Consider the following 26,115-nt stretch of genomic DNA (forward strand, 5'->3'; position numbering starts at 1 on the left):
GGTTTTTGAAGTCCTTAAAGCAGGATTTTATTCCATGTATTCCAATTGGAACTTGAAGACATTTTGAACATTGATATTTCTCCTTTAATTTCTACTTGTCTTAAAGCCCATAGCTTGTCCCCTCAAAAAGGTCAGTTTTAACTCCTCTGCCTTTCAGACAGGCATATTGATCTGCGCTGTGTTTTGTTTGCCCAGTCCAGTAACCCTGTGCAAATTCTAGGAGGTTCCAAAGAAGTCCTTGTAGAAGGGCTGCTCTAGTCCAGCAGGATCGGCAGAGTCCAAATTCTGTCCAGAGAGGGTTAAGCTCTCCCCTTTTCCAAGTATCCTCTATAGACTTCAGTACAGTGCCCTGGCAGCAAAGGACTATTTAGCCAAAACTTTCCTAGGAAAAAAAGGGAGAATATTTGTCTCACTTTGCAGTACTACTTTATTATAGTTTAAGGTTTTTCAGTAGCCCCATGCTGCAGAGGGTTTATTTCCCCCTAATCCCTCCAGGCTTTCCTTAGCAGAAAATAAAGCTTTAGAGGGCTAGATTTGTCATCTTTCTTCCATGATCATTGGGGCCATCTCAGACCCTCCCTTCTCTCCTTGCCCTCTATGGATTGGGGGAACACAGCCCTTGCAATTGGCCATGCTAAGTGTTTTTTTGGGTTGGTCCCTAGGGCGAGTATGTGTCCTGCCTTCTCTCACTGCTCCGCCAGATGTGTGACACCCATTTCCAGCACCTCCTGGACAACTTCCAGAGCAAAGATGAACTCAAGGTAGGCAGTAGAACACCTTTCCTCTGGGAGAGGAAGTGTGCAGCCAGCACTCCCCAGGGGCTTTTTCCCTGTCAGGGGGATGAATGCAAGTGACTAGCATTGCCACGGGTGTAGGATTCACCAGCCCTGCTTTACAGCTGAGTGTTGGCCTCCAGAAGCTGAAAGCCAGCAGTGTCCCCACACAGCTGGACCCTCGTAACACTGCCAAGTTTTCCTTGACTATTAGCGGCCCTGTGATCATGTGCCTCTATTAGAGGCTACTCTGTCCCACACTGGTTGTCAGACAACCAGGACTCCTTCCTTTCTTAGTAACTTGGCAGTTACCCTTATATTTTGTACCTGCAAATTAGGATTTGCTGTTTTAATACCTTTAATAATAATAATGGTGTCAATTTTTTTCATTTAAATATATTTGTGGAAGATACCTTTAGAGAGCAAGGGTGTGCACTGCTCATTTGCTGCCAAACTCTGGGTCTGGAGCACTGAGGGTCTTATTTTTATCACAGATTGCTATACATAATTTAAAAAGCCAAAGCATACTACAAAGTTCATAATATAAAACACCTGTAGTCCTAGCTACTCTTGAGGCTAAAGTGAGAGGATCGATTGAGCCCAGAAATAATTTTTTTAAAAAATACAGTGGTTTCCTGGCTCAGCCTGACTCGTGTCCAGTCCCTACTCCACAAAGGCAGCCACTTTCAATTCTTTTGCTATTCTTCAGGAAGCTTCTACTACTATTTTTAGCTATTGTTAGTTATTATCTATTTTCCTCTTTCTATGGAAAATGAAGATGATTCTCCAGAATCATTCCTCTCTCACACACACATCCTTCCTCCCATTTTCCCAATGTAGTTTTCATATATTTTTGTTTGCATTGATTATATTGTTTATCTTTTCTTTATTACAGCTAAATAAGTACTGTGGTGAGCCAAGACTGTCCTGGGATTATATTTCTTTTCTTGTAGAACAGTGATGTCCAGTCTTTCGGCTTCCCTAGGCCACATTGGAAGAAGAATTGTCTTGGGCCACACATTAAATACACTAACACTAACGATAGCTGATGAGCTAAAATATATATATATATATATATATATATATATATCTCATAATATTTTAAGGAAGTTTACAAATCTGTGTTGGGCTGCATTCAAAGCCATCCTGGGCTGCATATGGCCCATGGGCCGTGGGTTAGACAAGCTTGTTGTCGAACTTATTGTTTTTATAAAAATTAATTGCCTCTTTTTTTATTTGCTTATGCTTTGTTTTGTTTTGGTCATCAAATCTGGTGAGGATTTCCCACTCTTGCTATCATCTTTCTAATATATCTCTTCTTCCAGCTTGCCTTATGGTCAAATCTATCAGATGTCAGGTCACTTTTTTTTCCTAGAGATTTGCTCCCCCACTGCTTTTATTTGTTTCAGTCACTATCTTTTGTGTTGGAGACTCTCCTCCTACAGACTTTCCTATAGAGACTCCTGGATGATAGTGTGTATCTAAAAGTGAAGTCCTTCAGTGCTGATTACAAACTCTATGTATAGGCAGGGCTTTCTCTAGCAGGCTTCCCTGTAGATGGCCAAAGAGATCTGCCCTTTTGGTCAGAGCATTCCCCAATTCCTGTGTCTGGAGGACTTGGACTTGTTCATTCCCCAGAGAGGAGTCTTCCACTTCTCCTGTGTTGGGCACAGGAGTTCGATGTCGCAAAAGATCTACACTGAGACAAAGGATTCCTCAGCAAGGCTAGTTTACTTTCTGCGGAAAGGGTGCACTCGCCAGCAGTCCAGCCACAAGAGCACACACAAACAAAGGAGATAGGGTTATTTATAACCTGATGCATTCACCCTACTGCTGTGTCTGGTTTCCATTGGCTGGAACGGGACCTCACATTCTATACCCGACCCAATTGGCTAGCAACTTAGAACTTCCCAAAAGAGTCAAAGGCAGAGGAGAACAAAGGAAGAGAGGAAGTAACTTGTGGAATGCTGAGAGAGGCAAAAACACTTCCAAATAAGGGAGAGGAATAGGCTATGGCCTAATTAAGCTATAATTATGCCATAAAATTCATACTTTTAAAGTGTACAATTTAATGCTTCTGATTATATCCATCTTAAAAAGACTCATCACAAATAGTGACATCAAGTTAATAATTTAAGATTTCCAACCAGGTGCAGTGGCTGTCACCTGTAATCCCAACACTTTGGGAGACCAAGGCGGGCGGAGGCAGATCACCTGAGGTCGGGAGTTTGAGACCAGCCTGACCTGACCAACATAGAGAAACCCTGTCTCTACTAAAAATACAAACTTATACGGGTGTGGTGGTGCACGCCTGTAATCCCAGCTACTCGGGAGGCTGAGGCAGGAGAACCGCCTGAACCTGGTAGGTGGAGGTTGCGGTGAGCCAAGATTGCGCCATTGCACTCCTGCCTGGGCAACAAGAGTGAAACTCTGTCTCAAAAAAAAAAAAAAAAGAAAAGAAAAGAAAAAAGAAAAAAAACTTCCCACAAAGAAAAGCCCAGGACCAGATGCCTTAATTGGTGAATTCTACCAAATTTTTAAATAAGAATTAATATCAGTCCTTTGCAAACTATCCCAAAAAGTAGAAGAGGACAGAACATTTACCTACTCATTGTATGAGGTCAGTAATAAATACTGTGATAAGAAACCTGGACAAAGACATCACAAGAAAAGCAAACTACAAACCAATACCCCTTATGAATATAAACACAAAAATCTCCAGCAAAATACTAGCAAACTGAATCCACCAACATAGTAAAAGAATTATATAACATGATCAAGTAGGATTTATCCCAGAAATGCAAGTTTAGCTTAACATGTGAAAATTGTCAAGGAATGACGTGAGCCACACAGAAAAATATGAAGCTCCTGACTTTCCCTCTACCCACAGACACCAAATAAACATCTATTCATGAATCACTTCCCTCTGAGAGAAGGAGACCCATTGAAAGATCCTTACCCACCAGGCAACTGAGGAAACATCCACATTGAATGGGTAGGAAAAGCTGAGAGGCACACTCAGGCACAGACCCCACCCCTGGCACTGCACCATAAAATCAGGAAAGGAATCCTTAACATTTACTTGCTCCCTGTGGAGAGGAGGGTTTGGACCTCACATATACCACCCTAATTCTAAGATTTGCCATGGTTTGGCTCCTAATTCACCAACTCTGGGAGGGGAGGAAATTTGTATCTCTAGATCACAGGGAAAAAGCAGCAATTTTATATGGGCACACAAGGACTTCCAGGGCTTTATCCTCTAGAAGCAATGCAGAGAAAGGGCTCCAAAAATGCAGCTCCATGTGTCTCTCAGGAACAGACAAACTCTTTCAGTGGACATGTGGCAGTCTGGCTTCTTACTGACTTAGACTGGGGAGTTAAAGGAGCAGACAAGTAGTAGCTTGCTGCTAGCCTGAGCAGCAGATTGGCACTTCCTGAGCCTCCTCCCCCAGCTCACCCTAGTGATAATTTCAGACAAACTCCTCTCCTGGAAGGAGTTTGTCCATACATTGAGCATCCCAGCTTTTATAGCTTCTACCCAAGGGACTGCATCCTAAACCTCCCCGTTCTGGGAACAAAGGGGACTGGCATATGTGTGTCCATAGACTACATGAAAAAGGTTGTGGTTTCGTATGGGCATGTAAGCACTTCTGGGGCTTGATCCTCCTGAAACAGTGCAGAGAAGGGGCTTGAAAACACAGTTCCTCTGTTTCTCCCTGGAAGGGGTGTATAACTACTTGGTGGTCTGGCTTCTTGAGTTAAAGGGACTTTACACACTTACATTCGTGAGTTAAAGGGACAGGCAAGTATTGGCCCACCAGCAGCCTGAGAAGCAGATTGGTACTTCACAGGCCTTCTCCCCTAGCTCATCCCAGGAACAACTGCAGGCCTATTAATCCCTCCTGGAAAGAATTGTCCACATATTGAGTGCTCCAACTTTTACAGCTTCTACCCGAAGGACTGCATCCTAAACCTCCTAGCATTGGGAGCAAGAGAAGCTGCATATATATGAGTCTGTCTAGACCTCAGGAAAAAAAATTGCAGTTTTATGTGAGCACATAAATACTTCCAGGGTCTTCATCTGCCAGGATCAGTGCAGAAAAGTGGCTTTAAAAACTCACCTCCCTGTTTCTCCCTGGAAGGGGTTTATGCCATGCATCAAGTACGCCAACTTTTACAGTTACCTCCCGAAGGACTCCATCCTAAACCTCTTAGTTCTAGGAGCAGAAAGAACTAGGCATTTATTAATCTCCCTAGATCACAGAACAAAGAGATGGTTTTAAATGGGCACACAAACACTTCCAGGAGCTAACACCCCTTTGGAGCAGTGCAGAAAAGGGGCAGGAACATGCAGCTCCGATTTTTCTCTTTAGAAGGGTCTCATGGCACATAATTCCAGTGGCTGCTTTATGGCTTGGCTTATATTGAACTTGTTTCAGGGAGCTAATGGAGCAAACAAACAATAACCATTTAGCAGCCTGAGCCAGAGCTCAGCACTTCATGAGCCTTTCCTTTGGCTCACCACAGTGATAAGTCCAAGTGTACCCATTCTTCCTGGAAGGCATTTGGCCACACATTAAGTGCCACAACTTCTATAGCTCCCACCCAAGAGACTATCTCCTTAATAACCTAATTCTGGGAAAATGGGGCTTTGCATTCCTGAGTGGCCCTAGATCACAGAAAGCCAAGAGGTAGACATACAACGTTTGCAACAGATCCTCTTCCCCAGCTTAATGCAGCGACAGTGGGATATAAATGCCCATGTTCAGCTTTATCATGAAGATACAATGAACTGGAGCATGCATCCAACACTTTTAACATTTGCAGCTACATAACAAGAGTCTGGCTCCTAAGTTGTCAGTTTCAGAGTATGGAGAGGACATGGCACATCTTAAGCTCCAGGAGGCCACCCAAAACAGAGACAGCAGTCTGGACAAACACAAAGATTTGAGAGGCACCTTAGAATCTCTGGATGGATGAATTGGTGAGATCCTTCTACACAAGGCCAACCTGACAAGATTGGGAGAAATAATTGTCTGATCTCATATGCAGAAATGAACCACAGAGCATCAAGGAAAATAAATAGGAGTATATTTCAAACAAAAGAATAAGATAAATGTCCAGAAACCAGCCCAAGTGAAGTGTAGGTATGTGATCATCCAACAAGGAATTCAAAATAATGTTCATAAAGATGCTCACTGAGGTCGGGAGAGCAATGAAAGAATAAACTGAGAATTTCAACAAAGAAACAGAAAGTATACATAAGTACCAAACAAATCATAGAGCTGAAGAATACTCTAAACTGAAAATTTCAATAAAAGGATTCAGCAGCAGACTAGATCAAGCAGAAGAAAGGATTACTGAAATCAAAAACAGGTCACTGAAAATTATATAATCTGAGGTACAAAAAGAAAAGAAATTTTAAAAAGAGGGTAAGGCCAGGTGCAGTGCCTCACACCTATAATCCCAGCACTTTGGGAGGCCAAGGTGGGCAGATCATGAGGTCAGGAGTTTGAGACCTATCTGGCCAACATAGCGAAACCCCGTCTCTACTAAAAATAAAAAAAAATTAGCTGGGTGTGGTGGCGGGCGCCTGTAATCCCAGCTACTTGGGAGGCTGAGGCAGGAGAATCGCTTGAACCCAGGAGGCAGAGGTTGCAGTGAGCCAAGATCACGCCATTGCACTCCAGCCCAGGCAACAGTGCATGACTCCATCTCAAATGAAAAAAGAGTTTAGTCTGGAAGTTCTAGCCAAAGCAATCAGGCAAGAGAAAGAAAACGCATCCAAATAGGAAGAGAGGAAGTCAAACTATCTCTATTTACAGATGTTATAATTCTATACCTAGGAAACTCCATAACCTCTTTCCAAAAGTTCCTAGATCTGATAAACAACTTCAGCAAAGTTTCAGGATACAAAAATCGATGTAAAAAATCAGTAGCATTTTTATACACCAACAACATTCAAGCTGAGCCAAATTAAGAACGTAATTCCATTCACAATAGCCACAAAAAGAATAAAGTATCTAGGAATAAAACTAACCAGAGAGGTAAAAGATCTCTACAAGGAGAATTACAAAACTGCTAAAATAAATCAGAGATTACACAAACAAATGGAAAAACATTCCATGTTCATGGCTAGGAAGAATGAAGAATCAATATTGTTAAAATGACCATACAACTCAAAGCAATTTACAGATTCATTGCTATTCCTATTAAATTACCAATGACATTTCTCACAGAATTAAAAACTTTTTTAAATTGATATGGAATTAAAAAAAAGCCTGAATAGCCAAAGCAGTCCTAAGCAAAAAGAACAAAGCTGGAGGCATGACATTACCTGACTTCAAACTATACTACAAGGCTACAGTAACCAAAACAGCATGGTACGGATACAAAAAATAGACACATAGACCAAAGGAACAGAATACAGAGCCCAGAAATAAAGCTTCATACCTACAACAATCTCATTTACAACAAAGTTGACAAAAACAAGCAATGGGGAAAAGACTCCCTGTTCAATAAATGGTGCTGGGATAACTGGCTAGCCATATGCAGATTGAAACTGGACCCCTTCCTCATGCCATATACAAAAATTAACTCAAGATGGATTAAGGACTTAAATGTAAAACCTAAAATTATAAAAACTCTGGAAGATTTTCAAATAACTTAAAAAAGAACTACTTGGACATAGGCCCTGACAAAGATTTCATGACAAAGACACCAAAAGCAATTTGCAACAAAAGCAAAAATTGACGAATGTGATCTAATTAAAGAGCTTCTGCACAGAAAAACTCTCAACAGAATAAACAGGCAAGCCACAGAATGGGAGAAAATATTTGCAAACTATGCATCTGACAAAGGTCTGATAACCAGAATCTGTAAGGAACTTAAATTCACAAGCAAAAAAACAACTCTGTTAAAAAGTGGGCAAAAGACATGAACAGACACTTTTCAAAAGAGGACATACAGCAAACAAGCACATGAAAAAATGTTCAACATCACTAATCACTGGAGAAATACAAATGAAAACCACAGCAAGATACTATCTGAGACCACTCAGAATAGCTGTTATTAAAGTCAAAAAAATATTGGGAGGCTGAGGCAGCAAGATCACTTGAGCCCAGGAATTCAAGACCAGCCTGGGCAGCATAGCAAGACCCCATCTTGACAAAAAAAATAAAATAAAAATTACCCAGACATGGTGACATGTGCCTGTTGTCCAAGCTATTTGGGAGGCTGAGGTAAGATTGCTTGGGCCCAGGAAATCAAGGCTGCAGTGAGCTGATTGTACCACAGTTCTCCCACGTGGGTGACAGGAAAAGACCCTGTCTCAAAATAGTAAAAATTAAAATTAAAAAATTAAAAGTCAAGTCTCAAAATAGTAAAAATTAAAATTAAAAAATTAAAAGTCAAAAAATAACAAATGCTGGTGAGGTTGCAGAGAAGAGGGAACACTTATACACTGCTAATGGGAATGTAAATTAGTCCAGCCATTATGGAAAGCAGTTCTGTGATTTCTCAACTTAAAAAAGAACTACCATTCAACCCAGCAATCCCATTGCTGGATATATAACCAAAGGAAAATAAATAATTCTACCATAAAGACACATGCACATGTATGTGTTCATCACAGAACTATTCACAATAGCAAAGACATGGAATCAACCTAAATGCCCATCAGTGGTAGACTAGATAAAGAAAGTGTGCTACATATACACGTTGGAATACTACACAGCCATTTTAAAAGAACGAGATCATGTCCTTTGCAGCAACATGGATGGGGCTGGAGGCCATTGTCCTAAGTGAACTAACACAGAAAACCAAATACCACATGTTCTCACTTGTAAGTGGAAGCTAAACATTGAGTACTCATGGACATAAGAAGAGAACAACAGGCAGGCTCAGTGGCTCATGCCTATGATCCCAGCACTTTGGGAGGCTGATGCAGGGGGATCATTTGTGGTCAGGAGTTCGAGACCAGCCTGGTCAACATGGTGAAACCCCGTCTCTACTAAAAATACAAAAATGAGTCGGGCATGGCGGCACATGCCTGTAATCCCAGCTACTCAGGAGGCTGAGGCAGGAGAGTCACTTGAACCTAGGAGGCAGAGGTTGCAGTGAGCCAAGATCGTAGCACTGCCCTCCAGCCTAGGTGACAAAGTGAGACTCCGTCTCAAAAAAAAAAAAAAAAAAAAATTAAGAGAACAACAGACATCAGGGCCTATCTAAGAGTGGAGGGTGGGAGGAGGGTGAGGATCAAAAAACTACCTATCAGGTACTGTGCTTATTGCTGGGGCAGTATAATAATCTGGACACCAAACCTCCATGATGCTCAATTTACCTATATAACAAACCTGCACATGTACCCCTGAACCTAAAATAAAAAAAGAAAAAAGCTAACATAAAGGCTTTTAAATACCTTTTACTCAGAGTAACAAGTGACAAAAACTCACTTAGAATGAGGGAGGCCATTAGTCAATGGCCTAGTTTTCCTGAAAATGAGTTTGAAAGAAAAGGAGCAGAGGAAATGGTCCTGAAGAAAGAAACTGAGAGCTTGAAAGGCAGTATGCCTCTCTGACTGCAGGTAAAGGCTACTCATAAGCCAACAGATTTTATTTTTTATTTCCTAAGCTGAAACAGCCTAGCCTAGGAGAGGGGTGTTTGTGTGGGTGTGTGTGTGTGTGTGGGTGTGTGTGTGTGTGTGTGTGTGCCCATGTGTGTGTATTTAAAGTAAATCGGTGGAGGAAGTAAAGAGACAGAGGAAAGGGAGTAGCCTGGGGGAAGAGAGATGAGAGACTTGAGTATAAATGACTTAGGACAGGAGTGACAAAATAGAGAAACAGCTCTAGGTTATTTAAAAAAAGAACGTATATACCATGGAATTCTACACAGCCATAAAAAAGAATGAGATTATGTTTTCTGCAGCAACATGGATGGAGCTAGAGGCCATTATCCTAAGCAAACTAATGCAGGAACAGCAAACCAAATGCTGCATGTTCTCACTTATAAGTGGGAGCTGTACATGGACACAAAGAAGGGAACCACAGATACTAGGGCCTATTTGAAGGTGGAGGGTAGGAGGAGGGGAATTAAAGTATAGAGTTTCTTTATGCAATCAAAGTTGTTATCAGCCTAAAATGCTATTAGTATAAGATGTTTTATGTAAGCCACTGAGTAACTACTAAGCAAAAGCCTGTAATTAATATACAAAAGATAAAAGAATCAAAGCATACCACTAGACAGCCATCCAGCCACAAAGGAAGAAAGCAATACAGGAAGAAAAGAACAAAGGATCTACAAACAACCAACCAGAAAACAAAACAGCACTAGTAAATAAGTCCTTGCCTATCGGTAATTACTTTGAATGTAAATAGATTAAATTCTCCAATCAAAAGACGTGGAGTTCCTGAATGGATTTTTTTTTTTTAAGACCCAACTATATGCTGCCTACAGTAGCCTCACTTCACCTTAAAGGACAGTCATACACTGAAAGTGAAGGGATGAAAAAAGAAACTACCATCAGAGTGAACAGGCAACCTACAGAATGGGAGAACATTTTTGCAATCTACTCATCTGACAAAGGGCTAATATCCAGAATCTACAAAGAACTCAAACAAATTTACAAGAAAAAAACAACCCCATCAAAAAGTGGGCGAAGGATATGAACAGACACTTCTCAAAAGAAGACATTTATGCAGCCAACAGACACATGAAAAAATGCTCATCATCACTGGCCATCAGAGAAATGCAAATCAAAACCACAATGAGATATCATCTCACACCAGTTAGAATGGCGATCATTAAAAAGTCAGGAAACAACAGGTGCTGGAGAGGATGTGGAGAAATAGGAACACTTTTACACTGTTGGTGGGACTGTAAACTGGTTCAACCATTGTGGAAGACAGTGTGGCAATTCCTCAGGGATCTAGAACTAGAAATACCATTTGACGCAGCCATCCCATTACTGGGTATATACCCAGAGGAATATAAATCATGCTGCTATAAAGGCACATGCACATGTATGTTTATTGCGGCACTACTCACAATAGCAAAGACTTGGAACCAACGCAGATGTCCAACAATGATAGACTGGATTAAGAAAATGTGGCACATATACACCATGGAATACTATGCAGCCATAAAAAATGATGAGTTCATGTCCTTTGTAGGGACATGGATGAAGCTGGAAACCATCATTCTCAGCAAACTATCGCAAGGACAGAAATCCAAACACCACATGTTCTCACTCATAGGTGGGAATTGAACAATGAGAACACCTGGACACAGGAAGGGGAGCATCACACACCGGGGCCTGTTGTGGGGTTGGGGGAGAGGGGAGGGATAGCATTAGGAGATATACCTAGTGTAAATGACGAGTTAATGGGTGCAGCACACCAACATGGCACATGTATATATATGTAACAAACCTGCATGTTGTGCATATGTACCCTAGAACTTAAAGTATAATATATATATAAAAGAAAAAAGACATTTCATGCAAATGGAAACAAAAAGAGCAGGGGTAGCTATACTATTTCAGACAAAGTTGACTTTAGGTCAAAAATTATAAAAAGAGACAGTGGGCTGGGCACGGTGGCTCATGCCTGTAATCCCAGCACTGTAGGAGGCCAAGGTAGGTGGATCACAAGGTCAGGAGTTCAAGACCAGCCTGGTCAAGATGTGAAACCCTGTCTCTACTAAAAATACAAAAATTAGCCAGGCGTGGTGGCGGGCACCTGTAATCCCAGGTACTTGGGAGGCTGAGGCAGAGAATTGTTTGAACCCGGGAGGTGGAGGTTGCAGTAAGCCAAGATCGTGCCACTGCACTCCAGCCTGGGCAACAAGAGTGAAACTCTATCTCAAAAATAAAAATAACAAAAATAATATCTGGAGATAAAAATGGAAACATATCAAATCTTACAGAATGTAGCAAAAGCAGCTCTGGGAGGGAAGTTTATAGCAATAAATGCCTACATCAAATAAGAAGCAAGATCTCAAACAACCCAATGTCACACCTCAAGGAACTAGTAAAATAAGAAAAAACTAACCCCAAAGTTAACAGAAGGAAAGAAATAAGAAATATCAGAGTAGAAGTAAATGAAATGGACACTAAAAAAAGAAAAAGAAAAGAAAAATCACCTAAACAAGTTTATTTTCTGAAAAGCAAAACAGAAGAGTCAAGTCAGAAATGAAATAGAAGACGTTACAACTGATAACAGAAATATAAAGGATCATAAGAGACTGCTACAAATAATTATATGCCGGCAGATTGGACAACATAGGAGAAAATGATAAATTCCTAGACACGTGTATCTACTAAGACTTAATCATGAAGAGATTGGAAATCTGAACAGACTAATAACTAGTAAAGAGCTTGAATCAGTAATTAAGAGTCTTCCATCAAAGAAAAGCCCAGGACTAGATGGCTTCACAGTTGAATTCTGCCAGACATTTACAGACAAACTAATAATAATCCTTCCCAAACTTTTCTTAAAAATTGAAGAGGAGGGAATATTTCCAAACTCATTTCATGGGGCTAGCATTACCCTGATACTAAAGCCAGACAAAGACACTACAAGAAAAGGAAGCTATAGGTCAGTAACATGGATTAATATGATGCAAAAGTCCTCAACAAAAGACTAGCAAACTATATTCAACAGTACATTAAAAGGATTATTCACCATGATCAAGTGGGATTTATCGCTGGAATACAAGGTTGGTTCAACATACTCAGATCAATAAATGTGATTCACCATATTAACAGAATGAAGGAGAAAAACATGATCATCTCAATAAATGCAGGCAAAGCATATAAAAAATTCTCATTTCTTGATTTTAAAATTCCCAACAAATTACATATAGAAAGAATGTTCTTCAAAACAATAAATATCATATATGATAAGCCCATAGTTAACTTCACACTCAACAGTGAAAAACTGAAAGCATTTTTTTTAAGATCAGGAACAAGACAGGGATGCCCACTCTGACTACTTCTGTTCAACACAATACTAAGTACTTCTGTAATAAATACTTCTGTCCTAGCCAGAGCAGTTAGGCAAGAGAAAGAAAAGGCATCCAAATAGGAAATGATGGAGTAGAATTGTCTCTGTTTGCCAATGACATGGTCATATATATAGAAAATTTCAAAGACTCTACAAAAAAAACCTGTTAGAACTGAAAAACAGATTCAGTAAAATTGCAGGAGACAACACCTAATTAGTTGTGTTTCTATACAATAACAACAAACTGTCTAAAAAAGAAATTATGAAAACAAGCCAGGTGTGGTGGCTCACACTTGTAATACCAGCACTTTGGGAGGCTGAGATGGGAGGATCGCTTGAGCCCAGGAGTTTGAGACCAGCCTGGGCAACATAGTGAGACCTCCTCTCTACAAAAATAAAGAAGTTACAAAAACCATCCTGTTTACAATAGTATTTTTAAAAAACAAAATACTTAGGGGTTAAAAAATTTTTTTTCTTGAGACAGGGCCTCCCTCTGTCTCCCAGACTGGAGTGCAGTAGCACAATCTTGGCTCAGTGCAACCTCCACCTCCCAGGTTCTAGAGATTCTCCCACCTCAGCCTCCTGAGTAGCTGGGTTTACAGGTGCATGCCACCACACCCAGCTAATTTTTTTGTATTTTTTGGTAGAGATGGGGTTTTACCATGTTGGCCAGGTTTCAGGGGTACATTTAACCAAGGAAGTTAAAGATCTGCATGTATACTGACAACTATAAAATATTGATTAAGGAAATTAAAGATTATGCAAATAAATGGACAGATATCTCATGTTTATGGATTGGAAGGATTAATATTGTTAAGATGTTTATAATCCCTAAAGCAATCTACAGATTCAATGCAATCTCCATCAAAATTCCAATGTCATTCCTCACAGAAATAGAAAAAAACAATCCTAAAATGTGTATGGAATAAAAAAAGACCCCAAATAGCCAAAGCAACCTTGACCAAAAAGAACAAAGCTGGAGGCATCACTCTACCATATTTCAAAGCATATTACAAAACTGTAGTGATCAAAACACCATGGTATTGGCATAAAAACAGACACATTGACCAATAGAAGAGGATAGTGAGCCCAGAAATAAACCCACACATCTACCATTAATTGATTTTTGACAAAGATGCCAAGAACACACAATGAAAAAAGGAGAGTCTCATCAATAAGTGATGTTAGGAAAATTGGATAAACCATATACAGAAGAATGAAAGTAGACCTTTATCTCACCCCCCTATAGAAGAATCAACTGAAAATGGATTGAAGACCTGAAATGATAAAGCTACTAGAAGAAAACATAGGGGAAAACCTATGATGTTGATCTAGGTAGGGATTTCTTGGATATGATCCCTAAAGCACTGGCAATGAAAATAAAAATAGAAAATGGGATTGCATCAAACTAAAAAGCTTCTTCACAGTGAAGAAAACAATAGAATGAAGAGAACACCTACAGATTGGGAGAAAATATTTGCAAATTACATGTCAGATAAGGGACTAATATCCAAAATATACAAGGAACCTCAAGCTACTCAATAACAAGACTACAAATAACCCTATTTTTAAAATTGGCAAAGGACTTGAGTAGACATTTCTTAAAAGAAGACATCAGATATATGAAAAAATGCTCAATATTTCTAGTCATCAGAAAACACCAAGTAAAACCACAGTGAGATATCACGTCACATTTGTTAGATAAGCTATAATCAAAAAGATGAAAGATAACTGTTGGTGAGGATATGGAGAAAAGGGAACTCTTGTACACTGTTAGTGATATTGTAAATACAGCCATTTTGGAAAACAGTATGAAGTTTTCTCAAACTAAAAATAGAATTACCATATAATCCAACAATTCCACTTCTGGGTATATACCCAGAGGAATTAAACTCAGTATGTCAAAGAGATATGTACACTCCCATGTTCATTGCAGTGTTATTCACAATAGCAGAGACATGGAAAAAACCTAAGTGTCTATCAGCAGATGAATAGATTTTTAACATGTGGTATATATACACAGGCAATACTATTCAGCCTTAAAAGAAGTAGGAAATTTTGTCATTTCCAGCAACATGGATGAACCTGGAGGACATTATGTTAAGTGAAGTAAACCAGGAACAGACAAATATCATATGATCTCACTTACGTGTAGAATCTAAAAAAAATTGAACTCGAGGCTGGGCGCAGTAGCTCAAGCCTGTAATTCCAGCACTTTGGGAGGCCAAGGCAGGCGGATCACGAGGTCAGGAGATCGAGACCATCCTGGCTAACATGGTGAAACCCAGTATCTACTAAAAATACAAAAAAATAGCCAGGCGTGGTGGCAGGTACCTGTAGTCCCAGCTACTGGGGAGGCTGAGGCAGGAAGATGGCGTGAACCCGGGAGGCGGAGCTTGCAGTGAGCCAAGATCGCGCCACTGCACTCCAGCCTGGGCGACAGAGAGAGACTCTATCTCAAAAAAAAAAAAAAAAAAAAAAAAAAAAATTGAACTCGAAAAGTAGATAGTAGAATGATGGTTACCAGAGGCTGGGGGTGGGGGCAGTAGATAGAGAAAGGGGAGACATTGGTCAGTGGGTGCAAAGTTTCAGTTCAGGTGTTCTGTTGCACAGCATGGTGACAATAGTTAATAATGGAGTGTATATTTCAAAATAGCTAAAACAGTATTTTCAGTGTTCTCACCACAAAAAAATGATAAATATCTGAGGTGATGAATATGCTAATTAGCCCAATTTGTTCATTCCACAATGTATACATGTATTGACACATCAGATTGTGTTTAATAATTATATACAATTATTATTTGTCAATTAAAATAAAAATTTTTTAAATCGGTGTAATACACCCTTAAATGGTATAAAGGACAAAACCACATGATCATCTCAGTTAATGTCTTAGTCCATTTTGTGTTTCTATAAAGGAATACCTGAGGCTGATTAGTTTATAAAGAAAAAGGGTTTATTTGGCTTACAATTCTAATGTCTGAAAAAGTTTAAGATTGGGTCTCTGGCGAAGGCCTCAGGCTGCTTCCACTCATGGCAGAAGGTGAAGGAGAGCCAGTGTGTGCAGAGATATCATGGTGAGAGAGAAATCAAGAAAGAGGGGGAAGGTGCCAGGCTCTGTTTAACAACCAGCTGTCATGGGAACTAATAGAGCGAGAGCTCACTTTTCCCCAAGGGAAGGCATTTATCTATTCTTCATGGATCCACCCCTATGGCCCAAACACCTCCCATTATGTTCTACCTCCAACATTGGGGATGAGATTTCAACATGAGGTTTTGAGGGGACATATCCAAACCATTGCAAATGTAGAAAAAGCATTAAAAAAAATCCGCCAACAATTTGGTATTTGTTTTGTAATAAAATCACTGAGCAAACTAAAAATAGAAGCAAACTTCTTCAACCTTATAAAGGGCATCTATGAAAAACACACACCTAACATCATACTTCATAACAAAAGATTAATTTCTTTCTCCTAAGATCAGGAACAAGGGCAAGATGTGTGCTCTAGCCATTTTTATTTATTATACTGGAGAGTCTAGCTGGGGCAATAAGGCGTTGGGGGGTGGGGGGTAACCCTTCAGATTAGAAAGGAAGAAGTGAAACTATCTCTATTCACAGATGACCTGATTCTTTTTTTAGGAGGTGAGGTATTCTGTCCTCCAGGCTGGAGTACACTGGCACGATCATAGCTCACTGCAGCTTCAAACTCCTGGGCTCAAGTGATCCTTCTGCCTCAGCCTCCCAAGTAGCTGGAACTACAGGCACTGACAACTATGCCTGGCTAACTTTTTAAATTTTTTTTAAGAGATGGAGTCTCACTATGTTGCTCAAGCTAACTTGATTTTATATACAGAAAATTCTAAGGCATCCACAGGAAAATTATCAAAAGTTACAAACAAGTTCAAGATTTCAGGACATAAGATCAATATCCAAAAATCTATAGTTCTATACACCAGCAATAAATGATTCAAAAACTGAAATTAAGAAAAAATCCCAGTTACAGTATCATCAAAATGAATAAAAAAGAACTTCCAGCTGCATTTTTGCAGAGATTGACAGTCTGAGCCTTCAATTCATGTAGAAATATTGGGGACTCAGCCAAAACAACCTGGAAAAAGAACAAAATTGAAAGATTCACAGTTCCCATTTTCAAAACTTACTACAAAGTAACAGTAATCAAGATTTGTACTAACATAAAGATAGATACATAGATCAACAAAACTGGAGAGTCCAAAAATAAACTCTTACTTAAATTGGTTTTTTTTTTTTTTTGAGATGGAGTCTTGCTCTGTTGCCTGGGCTGGAGTGCAGTGGCGCGATCTCGGCTCACTGCAAGCTCTGCCTCCTGGGTTCACCCCATTCTCCTGCCTCAGCCTCTTGAGTAGCTGGGACTACAGGTGCCCGCCACCATGCCCGGCTATTTTTTTGTATTTTTAGTAGAGATGGGGTTTCACTGTGTTAGCCAGGATGGTCTCGATCTCCTGACCTTGTGATCCGCCCGCCTTGGCCTCCCAAAGTAAATTGATTTTTTATAATACTGCCAAGATAATTCAGTAAGGAAAGAAGTGTCTTTTCAACAAATGGTTCTGGGACAACTTAATATCCACATGTAGGGCCAGGTGCAGTGGCTCAACACCTGTAATCCCAGCACTTTGGGCGTCTGAGGCAGGCAGATCACCTGAGGTCAGGAGTTCGAGACCACCCTGGCCAACATGGGGAAACCCGTCTTTACTAAAAATTTAAAAATTAGCCAGGCATGGTGGCGGGCACTTGTAATCCCAGCTACTCAGGAGGCTGAGGCATGAGAATCGCTTGAATCCAGGAGGCAGAGGTTGCAGTGAGCTGAGATCGTGCCACTGCACTCCAGCCTGGGGGATAGAGTGAGACTCTGTCTCAAAAAAAAAAAAAAAAAAAAAAATCTACATGTAAAAGAATGATATCGCATCTCTACCTTATAGTATTTACAAAATTAACTTGGAATGGATTTTAGACCTAAATGTAAAAGCTAAAACTATGAAACTCTTGGAAGAAAATGTAGTATATCTTGTTGTGTTAAGCAGTAGTTTCGTAGATATAACACCAAAGTGCAAACAACAAAAGAAAAAAATAGGTAAGTTAGACTTCATCACACAAAGTTAAAAATTTTTGTGCTTCAAAGGCTACCATCAAGATAACCCACAGAATGGGAGAGAATATTTGCAAATCATACATCTAGTAAACACCTTGTGGTCTAGAATATATTCAAAAAGACACCTACTACTCAAAGATAGAAAACTCAATTTAAAAATGGGCAAAAGATTTGAATAGACATTTCCCCAGAGAAGACAGACACATAGCCAATATGCACAAGAAAAGATACTCCACATTATTACTCATTAAGGAAATGTAAATTAAATCTACAAGATAGCACTTCACACTGAGAGTAGACATAACAGGCCAGGCATGGTAGCTCATACCTGTAATCCTAGCACTTTGGGAGGTCAAGTCAGGAGGCATTAAGTCAGGAGTTGGAGACAAGCCTGGGCAATAGAGCAAGACCCTGTCTTTACAAAAATAATAATAATAATAATAATTTTTTTTTAATTAGTTGAGTGTAGTGGTGCATGCCTGTAGTCCCAGTTTAGTCCCAGCTAAATTTGTTGAGACTTTCTTTATTCAAGAGACTGAGGCAGGAGGATCCCTTGAGTTCAGGAGTCGATGCTACAGTGAACTATGATTGTGCCACTGCAGTCCAGCCTGGGCAACAGAGTGAGACCCCATCTCAAAAACAAAAAAAGAGTAGATATAATGAAGAAGACAAATATTGGTATTAATTCTTTAAACATTTCATAGATTTTATTAGTGAAACCATCTTGTCCTAGAATTTTCTTTGTGAAAACCTTTTTAATTATTGGATCTTTCACTTGTGAATAGGTATACTCAGATTTTCTATTTCTTCATGAATGAACTTTGGTAGCTTGTAACTTCCTAAGAATTTGTCAGTTTCATCTAGGTTATATAATTTGTTGGCATGCATTTGTTCATACTAGAACCATGTAATCCTTTCTGATTTTATAACATTGGTAATGATGTCACTTCTTTTGTTCCTAATTTGACTAATTTGAGTTCTCTTTTTCTTTCTTGGTCAATGCAGCTAAAAGTTTGTCCATCTTGTTGATCTTTTCAGAGAACCAATTTTTTAAATTTTAATTTTGATTTTAAGTTCTAGGGTATATGTGCAGGATGTGCATGTTTGTTACATAGGTAAATGTGTGCCATGGTGGTTTCCTGCACCTATCAACCCATTACATAGGTATTAAGCCCAGCACGCATTAGCTATTTTTCGTAATGCTCTCCCTCCCCCCACCTCAATCCCCAACGCCCCAGTCTATGTTGTTTTCCTCCCTGTGTCCATGTGATCTCATTGTTCAGCACCCACTTATAAGTGAGAACATACAGTATTTGGTTTTCTGTTCCTGTGTTAGTTTGCTGAGGATAATGGCTTCCAGCTCCATCCATGTCCCTGCAAAGGACATGATTTCATTCCTTTTTATGGCTGCATAGTATTCCATGGTGTATATGTAACCCATTTTCTTTATCCAGTGTATTGTTGATAGGCATTTATGTTGATTCCATGTCTTTGCTATTGTGAACAGTGCTGCAATGAACATACAAGTGCATGTATCTTTGTAATATGTAATAGAATGATTTATAATCCTTTGGGTATATACCCAGTAATAGGATTGCTGGGCCAAATGGTATTTTTGCTTCTAGGTCTTTGAGGAATCACCACACTGTCTTCCACAATGGTTGAACTAATTTACATTCCCACCAACCGTGTAAAAGCATTCCCATTTCTCCACAGCCTCACCAGCATCTGTTGTTTCTTGACATTTTTAATAATTGTCATTCTGACTGGTGTGAGATGCTGTATCATTGTGGTTTTCATTTGCATTTCTCTAATGATCAGTGATGTTCAGCTTTTTTTCACGTGTTTATGGGCCGCGTAAGTGTCTTCTTTTGAGAAGTGTCTGTTCATCTCCTTTGCCCACTTTTTAATGGGTTTTTTTTTTCTTGTAAGTTTGTTTAAGTTATTTGTAGATTCTGGATATTAGACCTTTGTCAGATGGATAGATTGCAGAAATTTTCTCCCATTCTATAGATTATCTGTTTACTCTGATGTTAGTTTCTTTTGCTGTGCAGAAGCTCTTTAGTTTAATTAGATCCCATTTGTCAATTTCTGCTTTTGATGAAATTGCTTTTGATGTTTTTATCATAAAATCTTTGCTGGTGCCTATGTCCTGAATGATATTGCCTAGATTTTCTTCTAGGGTTTTTGTAGTTTTGGGTTTGACATTTAAGTCTTTGATCCATCTTCAATTAATTTTTATATAAAGTGTAAGGAAGGTGTCCAGCTTCAATTTTCTGCATATGGCTAGCCAGTTTACCCAGCACCATTTATTAAATAGGGAATCCTTTCCCTGTTGCTTTTGTCAAGTTTGTTGAAGATCAGATGGTTGTAGATATGCAGTCTTATTTCTGAGATCGCTATTCTGTTTCATTGGTCTATGTGTTTGTTTTGGTACCACTACCATGTTGTTTTGGTTACTGTAGCCTTGTAGTATTGTTTGAAGTCAGGTAGTGTGATGCATACAGTTTTGTTCTTTTTGCTTAGGATTATCTTGGCTATACGGGCTCTTTTTTGGTTCCATATGACTTTTAAAGTAGTTTTTTCTAATTCTGTGAAGAATGTCAATGGTAGTTTAATGGGAATAGCATTGAATCTATAAATTACTTTGGGCAGTATGGCCATTTTCACAATATTGATTCTTCCTATCCATGAGCATGGGATGTTTTTCCATTTGTTTGTGTCCTCTCTGATTTCCTTGAGCAGTGGTTTGTAGTTCTTCTTGAAGAAGTCCTTACTTCCCTTGTTAGCTGTATGCCTAGATATTTTATTCTCTTTGTAGCAGTTGTGAATGGGAGTTCATTCATGATTTGGCTCTCTCCTTGGGTGTATATGAATGCTTGTGATTTTTGCGCATTGATTTTGTATCCTGAGACTTTGCTGAAGTTGCTTATCAGCTTAATGAGCTTTTAGACTGAGACAATGGGGTTTTCTAGATATAGAATCATGTCATCTGCAAACAGAGACAGTTTGACTTCACTTCCTATTTGAATACCCTTTATTTGTTTCTCTTGCCTGATTGCCCTGGCCAGAACTTCCAGTACTATGTTGAATAGGAGTGGTGAGAGAAGGCATCCTTGTCTTGTGCCGGTTTTCAAGGGGAATGCTTCCAGCTTTTGCCCATTCAGTATGATATTGGCTGTGGGTTTGTCGTAAATGCCACTTATTATTTTGCAATGTGTTCCATCAATACCTAGTTTATTGAGAGTTTTTTATCATGAAAGGATGTTGAATTTTATCAAAGGTCTTTTCTACATCTATTGAGATAATCATGTTGTTTTTATCTTTTGCTCTGTTTATGTGCTGAATTACCTTTATTGATTTGTGTATGTTGAACCAGCCTTGCATCCCAGGGATGAAGCCAACCTGATCATGGTAGATAAGCTATTTGATGTGCTGGTGGATTTGGTTTGCCAGTATTTTATTGAGGACTTTTGCACCAATGTTCATCAGGGATATTGGCCTGAAGTTTTCTTTTTCTTATTGTATCTCTACCAGGTTTTAGTATCAGGATGATGCTGGCCTCATAAAATGAGTTAGGGAGAAGTCCATCCTTTTCAGTTGCTTGGAGTAATTTCAGAAGAAATGGTACCAGCTCCTCTTTATACCTCTGGTAGAATTCAGCTGTGAATCCATCTGGTCCTGGGCTTTTTTGGTTAGTAGGCTGTTTATTACTGCCTCAGTTTCAGAGCTTTTTATTGTTCTGTTCAGGGATTCAACTTCTTCCTGGTTTAGTCTTGGGAGGCTGTACGTGTCCAGGAATTTATCCATTTCTTCTAGATTTTCTAATTTACATGCCTAAAGGTGTTAATAGTATTTTCTGATGGTTGTTTGTATTTCTGCAGGATCAGTGGTGATATCCCCTTTGTCATTTTTATTGTGTCTATTTGATTCTTCTCTCTTTTCTTCTTTATTAATCTAGCTAGCAGTCCATTTATGTTATTAATTTTTTCAAAAAGCCAGATCCTGGATTCATTGATTTTTTTTTTTGAAGGCTTTTTCATGTCTCTATCTCCTTTAGTTCTGCTCTCATCTTGGATATTTCCTGTCTTCTGCTAGCTTTTGGGTTTGTTTGCTCTTGGTTCTCTAGTTCTTTTAGTTGTGATATTAGAAAGATTTATTTGAGATCTTTCTAGCTTTTTGATGTGGGCATTTAGTGCTATAAATTTCCCTCTTAACACTCTTTTAGCTGCATCCCAGAGATTCTGGTACATTATTTCTTTGTTCCCATTGGTTTCAAATAACTTCTTGATTTTGGTTTTAAATAACTTCTTGATTTCTGCCTTACTTTCATTATTTACCCAGGAGTCACTCAGGAGCAGGTTGTTCAATTTCAGTGTAGTTGTGTGGTTTTTAGTGAGTTTCTTAATCTTGAGTTCTAATTGATAGCACTGTGTTCTGAGATCCTGTTTGTTATTATTTCATTTCTTTTGCATTCACTGAGGAGTGTTTTACTTCCAATTATGTTATCAATTTTAGAGTAAGTGCCATGTGGTGCCAAGAAGAATGTATATTCTGTTGTTTTTGGGTGGAGAGTTCTGTAGATACCAGGTCCATGTGATCCAGAGCAGAGTTCAAATCCTGTGAATATCCTTATTAATTTTCTGTCTCAGTGATCTGTCTAATATTGACAGTGGAGTGTTAAAGTCTCCCACTATTATTGTGTGTGGGAGTCTAAGTCTCTCTATAGGTCTTTAACAACTTGTTTTATCAATCTGGGTGCTTCTGTATTGGATGCATATATATTTAGGATAGCCCTTCTTGTTGCATTGATCCCTTTACCACTGTGTAATGCCCTTCTTTATCTTTTTTTGTCTTTGTTGGTTTAAAGTCTGTTTTGTCAGAAACTAGGATTGCAACCCCTGCTTTTTTCTGCTTTCCATTTGCTCGGTAAATTTTTCTCCATCCCTTTATTTTGAGCCTACGTGTATCTTTGCACATGAGATGGGTCTCTCGAATACAGCACACCAATGGGTCTTGACTCTTTATACAGTTTGCCATTCTGTGTCTTTTAATTAGGGCATTTAGCCTATTTACATTTATGGTTAATATTGTTATGTGTGAATTTGATTCTGTTATGATGCTAGCTGATTATTTTGCAGACTTGTTGATGTAGTTGCTTCATAGTGTCATTGGCCTTTGTACTTTTTTTTTTGCAGTGACTAGTAATGTTTTCCTTTCCATATTTGGTGCTTCCTTCAGGAGTTCTTGCAAGGCAGGCCTGGTGGTGACAAATTCCCTCCTCATTTGGTTGTCTGAAAAGGATTTTATTTCTCCTTCACTTATGAAGCTTCGTTTGGCCAGATATGAAACTCTGGGCTGGAAATTCTTTTCTTTAAGAATGTTGAATATTGGCCCCCAATCTCTTCTGGCTTATAGGGTTTCTGCTGAAAGGTCTGCTGTTAGTCTGATGGGCTTCCCTTTGTAGGTGACCTGGCCTTTCTGTCTGGCTGCCCTTAACATTTTTTCCTTCATTTCAACCTTGGAGAATCTGATGATTATGTGTCTTGGGGTTGATCTTCTTGTGGAGTATCTTACTGGGGTTCTCTGGATTTCCTGAATTTGAATGTTGGCCTCTCTTATTAGGTTGGGGAAGTTCTCCTGGGTGATATCCTGAAGTATGTTTTTCATCTTGGTTCTGTTCTCCCTGTCTCATTCAGGTACCCCCATCAGTCGTAGGTTCAGTCTTTTTACATATTCTCATAGCTTTTGTTTGTTCCTTTTCATTTTTTTTTTTCTCTAATCTTGTCTTGCCTTATTTCAGCAAGATAGTCTTCAAGCTCTGAAATTATTTTCTCTGCTTGGTCTGTTCGGTTATTGATACTTGTGTTTACACTGTGAAGTTCTCATGTTGTATTTTCAGCTCTGTGAGGTAATTTATGTTCCTCTCTAAACTGGCTCTTCTGGTTAACAGCTCCTGTAATGTTTTATCATGGTTCTTAGCTTCTTTGCATTGAGTTAGAACATGCTCCTTTAGCTCAGAGAAGTTTGTTATTACGCACCTTCTGAAGCCTACTTCTGTCAATTCATTCATCTCAGCCTCTGCCCAGTTCTTTGCCCTTGCTGGAGAGGTATTGCAATCATTTGGAGGAGAAGAGACATTCTGCCTTTTTGAGTTTTCAGTGTTTTTTCACTGATTCTTTCTCATCTTCATGAGTTTGTCTAGCGTCAATCTTTGAGGCTGCTGACCTTTGGATAGGGTTTTTGTGGGGACTTTTTTGTTGATGCTGTTGTTGTTGCTTTCTGTTTGTTTTTCTTTCAACAATTAAGCCCCTTTTTGTAGGGCTGCTCTGGTTTGCCGAGGGTTCACTCCAGACCCTATTCACCTGGGTCCCTCCCACACCCAGAGGTGTCACCTGAGGAGGCTACAGAACAGCAAAGATAGCTGCCTGCTTCTTCCTCTGAGATCTCTGTCCCTGAGAGGCACTGACCTGATGCCAGCAGGAATGCTCCTATATAAGGTGTCTGGCAACCCTTATTGGAGGGTCTGACCCAGTCAGGGGGCACGGAATCTGGGACCCACTTAATGAAGCACTCTGGCTGCCCCTTGGCAGAGGGGGTGTGCTGTGCTGGGGGGAATCCCACTTGTCTGGGCTGCCTGGATTCCTCAGAGCTAGCAGGGGGAAAGACTAAGTCTGCTGATCTGCGGACACCATAGCCGCAGGTCTCCGCAGCCCCTCAGTCCCAGGGAGATCAAAGTTCTGTCCCTAAACCCCTGGCTGAAGTTGCTAAAATTCCTGCAGGGAGGCCCCACCCACTGAAGAAGAATGGGTCAGGGTCCGACCTAAAGTGGCAGCCTGGCCACAGTCTGCCACAGCCAGTGTGGCAGTTTGGATCCAAACCGTCCAGTTTCCCCAGCACCAGCAGGGGAAAAACTGAAGACTGGAGCTACAGTGATGGCTGCTGCCCCTCTCCCAGTGAGCTAATCATCTTAGGCAGCAGGCAGCCATAGTGATGCCTGCTGCCCCTCTCCTGGGAAGCTCATTAGTCTTAGGCAGCAGGCAGCTATAGTGATGATGACCTCCCCTCCCGCTCAGGATGATGACCTCCCCTCCCCCTCCTCCCCTGCTCAGTTGTCATAGACAGCAGGCAGCTGCAGTGATGGCTGCCAACCCTCACTTGGGGGGAACTCAGTTGTCTTAGCCTCCAGCTGAGTGGCCGCTGAGAATCTGCACAGCTGTGTGCTTGGGATCCAAGGTCCTGGTGGCGTAGGCCCACAAGTAGGATCTCCTGATCTATGGGTTGCACAGATCTGTGGAAAAAGCATGGTTTCCCAGTCTGGGTAGCACGATCCCTCACTGCCTCCCTTGGCTGGTGGTGGGGGGCCCCCTTACCCCATGTGGCTCCCAGGTGAGCCATCGCACCACCCTGCTTTTCCTCACTTTCCGTGGGTCATGCCAACCACCTAGTCAGTCCCAGTGAGAGAACCTAGATACCTTGGTTGCCACTGCAGGGTTCACTCACCGTTTTGGTTCTTCTCTGTGGGACCCTCCAACTGCAGCTGTTTCTAGCTGGCCATCCTCACCCCTCTGATTTTACTTCTTTTAAATTTATTGGGACTTTCTTATGGCCTAACATATGATCTGTCCTAGAGAAGGGAATGCACATATTTTTCCTTCTATGTGCATTTGAGGAAAACGTGTGTATTTTGTTGTTAGATGGAGTGTTCTATAGACGTGTGTTAGAGCTAGATAGTTTATAATATTGCTCAAGTTTTTTATTTCTTTGCTGATCTTCTGTCTAGTTGTTCTGACTGTTAGTGGTATATCAAAGTCTTCAACTATTATTGAATTGTCTACTATTACTTTCCATTCTGTCAGTTTTTGCATTATATATTTTGAGGCTGTGCTTTTAGGTTGCATATATGTTTATAATTACGACTTCCAGACATAACTGACCCCTTTATCATTATAAAAATATCCTTCTTTGTCTCTAACAAAAATTTTTGTCTTAATGTCTATATTGTCTGATGTTAATATAGCCATACCAGTTCTCGTTTGGGTACTATTTTCATGGTATATATTTTTCCATTCTTTTACTTTCAATGTATTTGTACATTTGAATCTAAAGTGTGTACCTTGTAGATATAGTTGGATCATATTTTTAAATTAATTTTTCCCAACTCCGTCTTTTAGTTGGAGTGTTTAATTCATTTATGTTTACTGTAAC

General features: G+C 39.9%; 1 protein-coding gene across 28 annotated transcripts in view, besides 1 other annotated feature; it reads left to right on the plus strand.

The window, feature by feature from the left end:
• Positions 1-26,115, plus strand: part of DOCK3 (dedicator of cytokinesis 3) — a 709,272-nt gene that overhangs the window by 604,517 nt on the left and 78,640 nt on the right. For all 28 annotated transcript variants that reach the window (XM_005264914.4, NM_004947.5, XM_006713010.4 and 25 more), the window contains one exon: positions 663-761. In XM_005264914.4, coding sequence (XP_005264971.1) covers positions 663-761 — 99 coding nt within the window. The remainder of the gene's footprint in view (positions 1-662; positions 762-26,115) is intronic.
• Positions 16,436-16,495: an enhancer, noted in NCBI's record as "active region_19916". NCBI's record gives its function as "activates an Ori minimal core promoter by ATAC-STARR-seq in GM12878 lymphoblastoid cells {active_cell/tissue: GM12878}" and the evidence as "EXISTENCE:reporter gene assay evidence [ECO:0000049][PMID:35858748]".

Source organism: Homo sapiens, chromosome 3, assembly GCF_000001405.40.
Source record: "Homo sapiens chromosome 3, GRCh38.p14 Primary Assembly".
In the NCBI taxonomy this organism is placed as follows: Eukaryota; Metazoa; Chordata; class Mammalia; order Primates; family Hominidae; genus Homo; species Homo sapiens.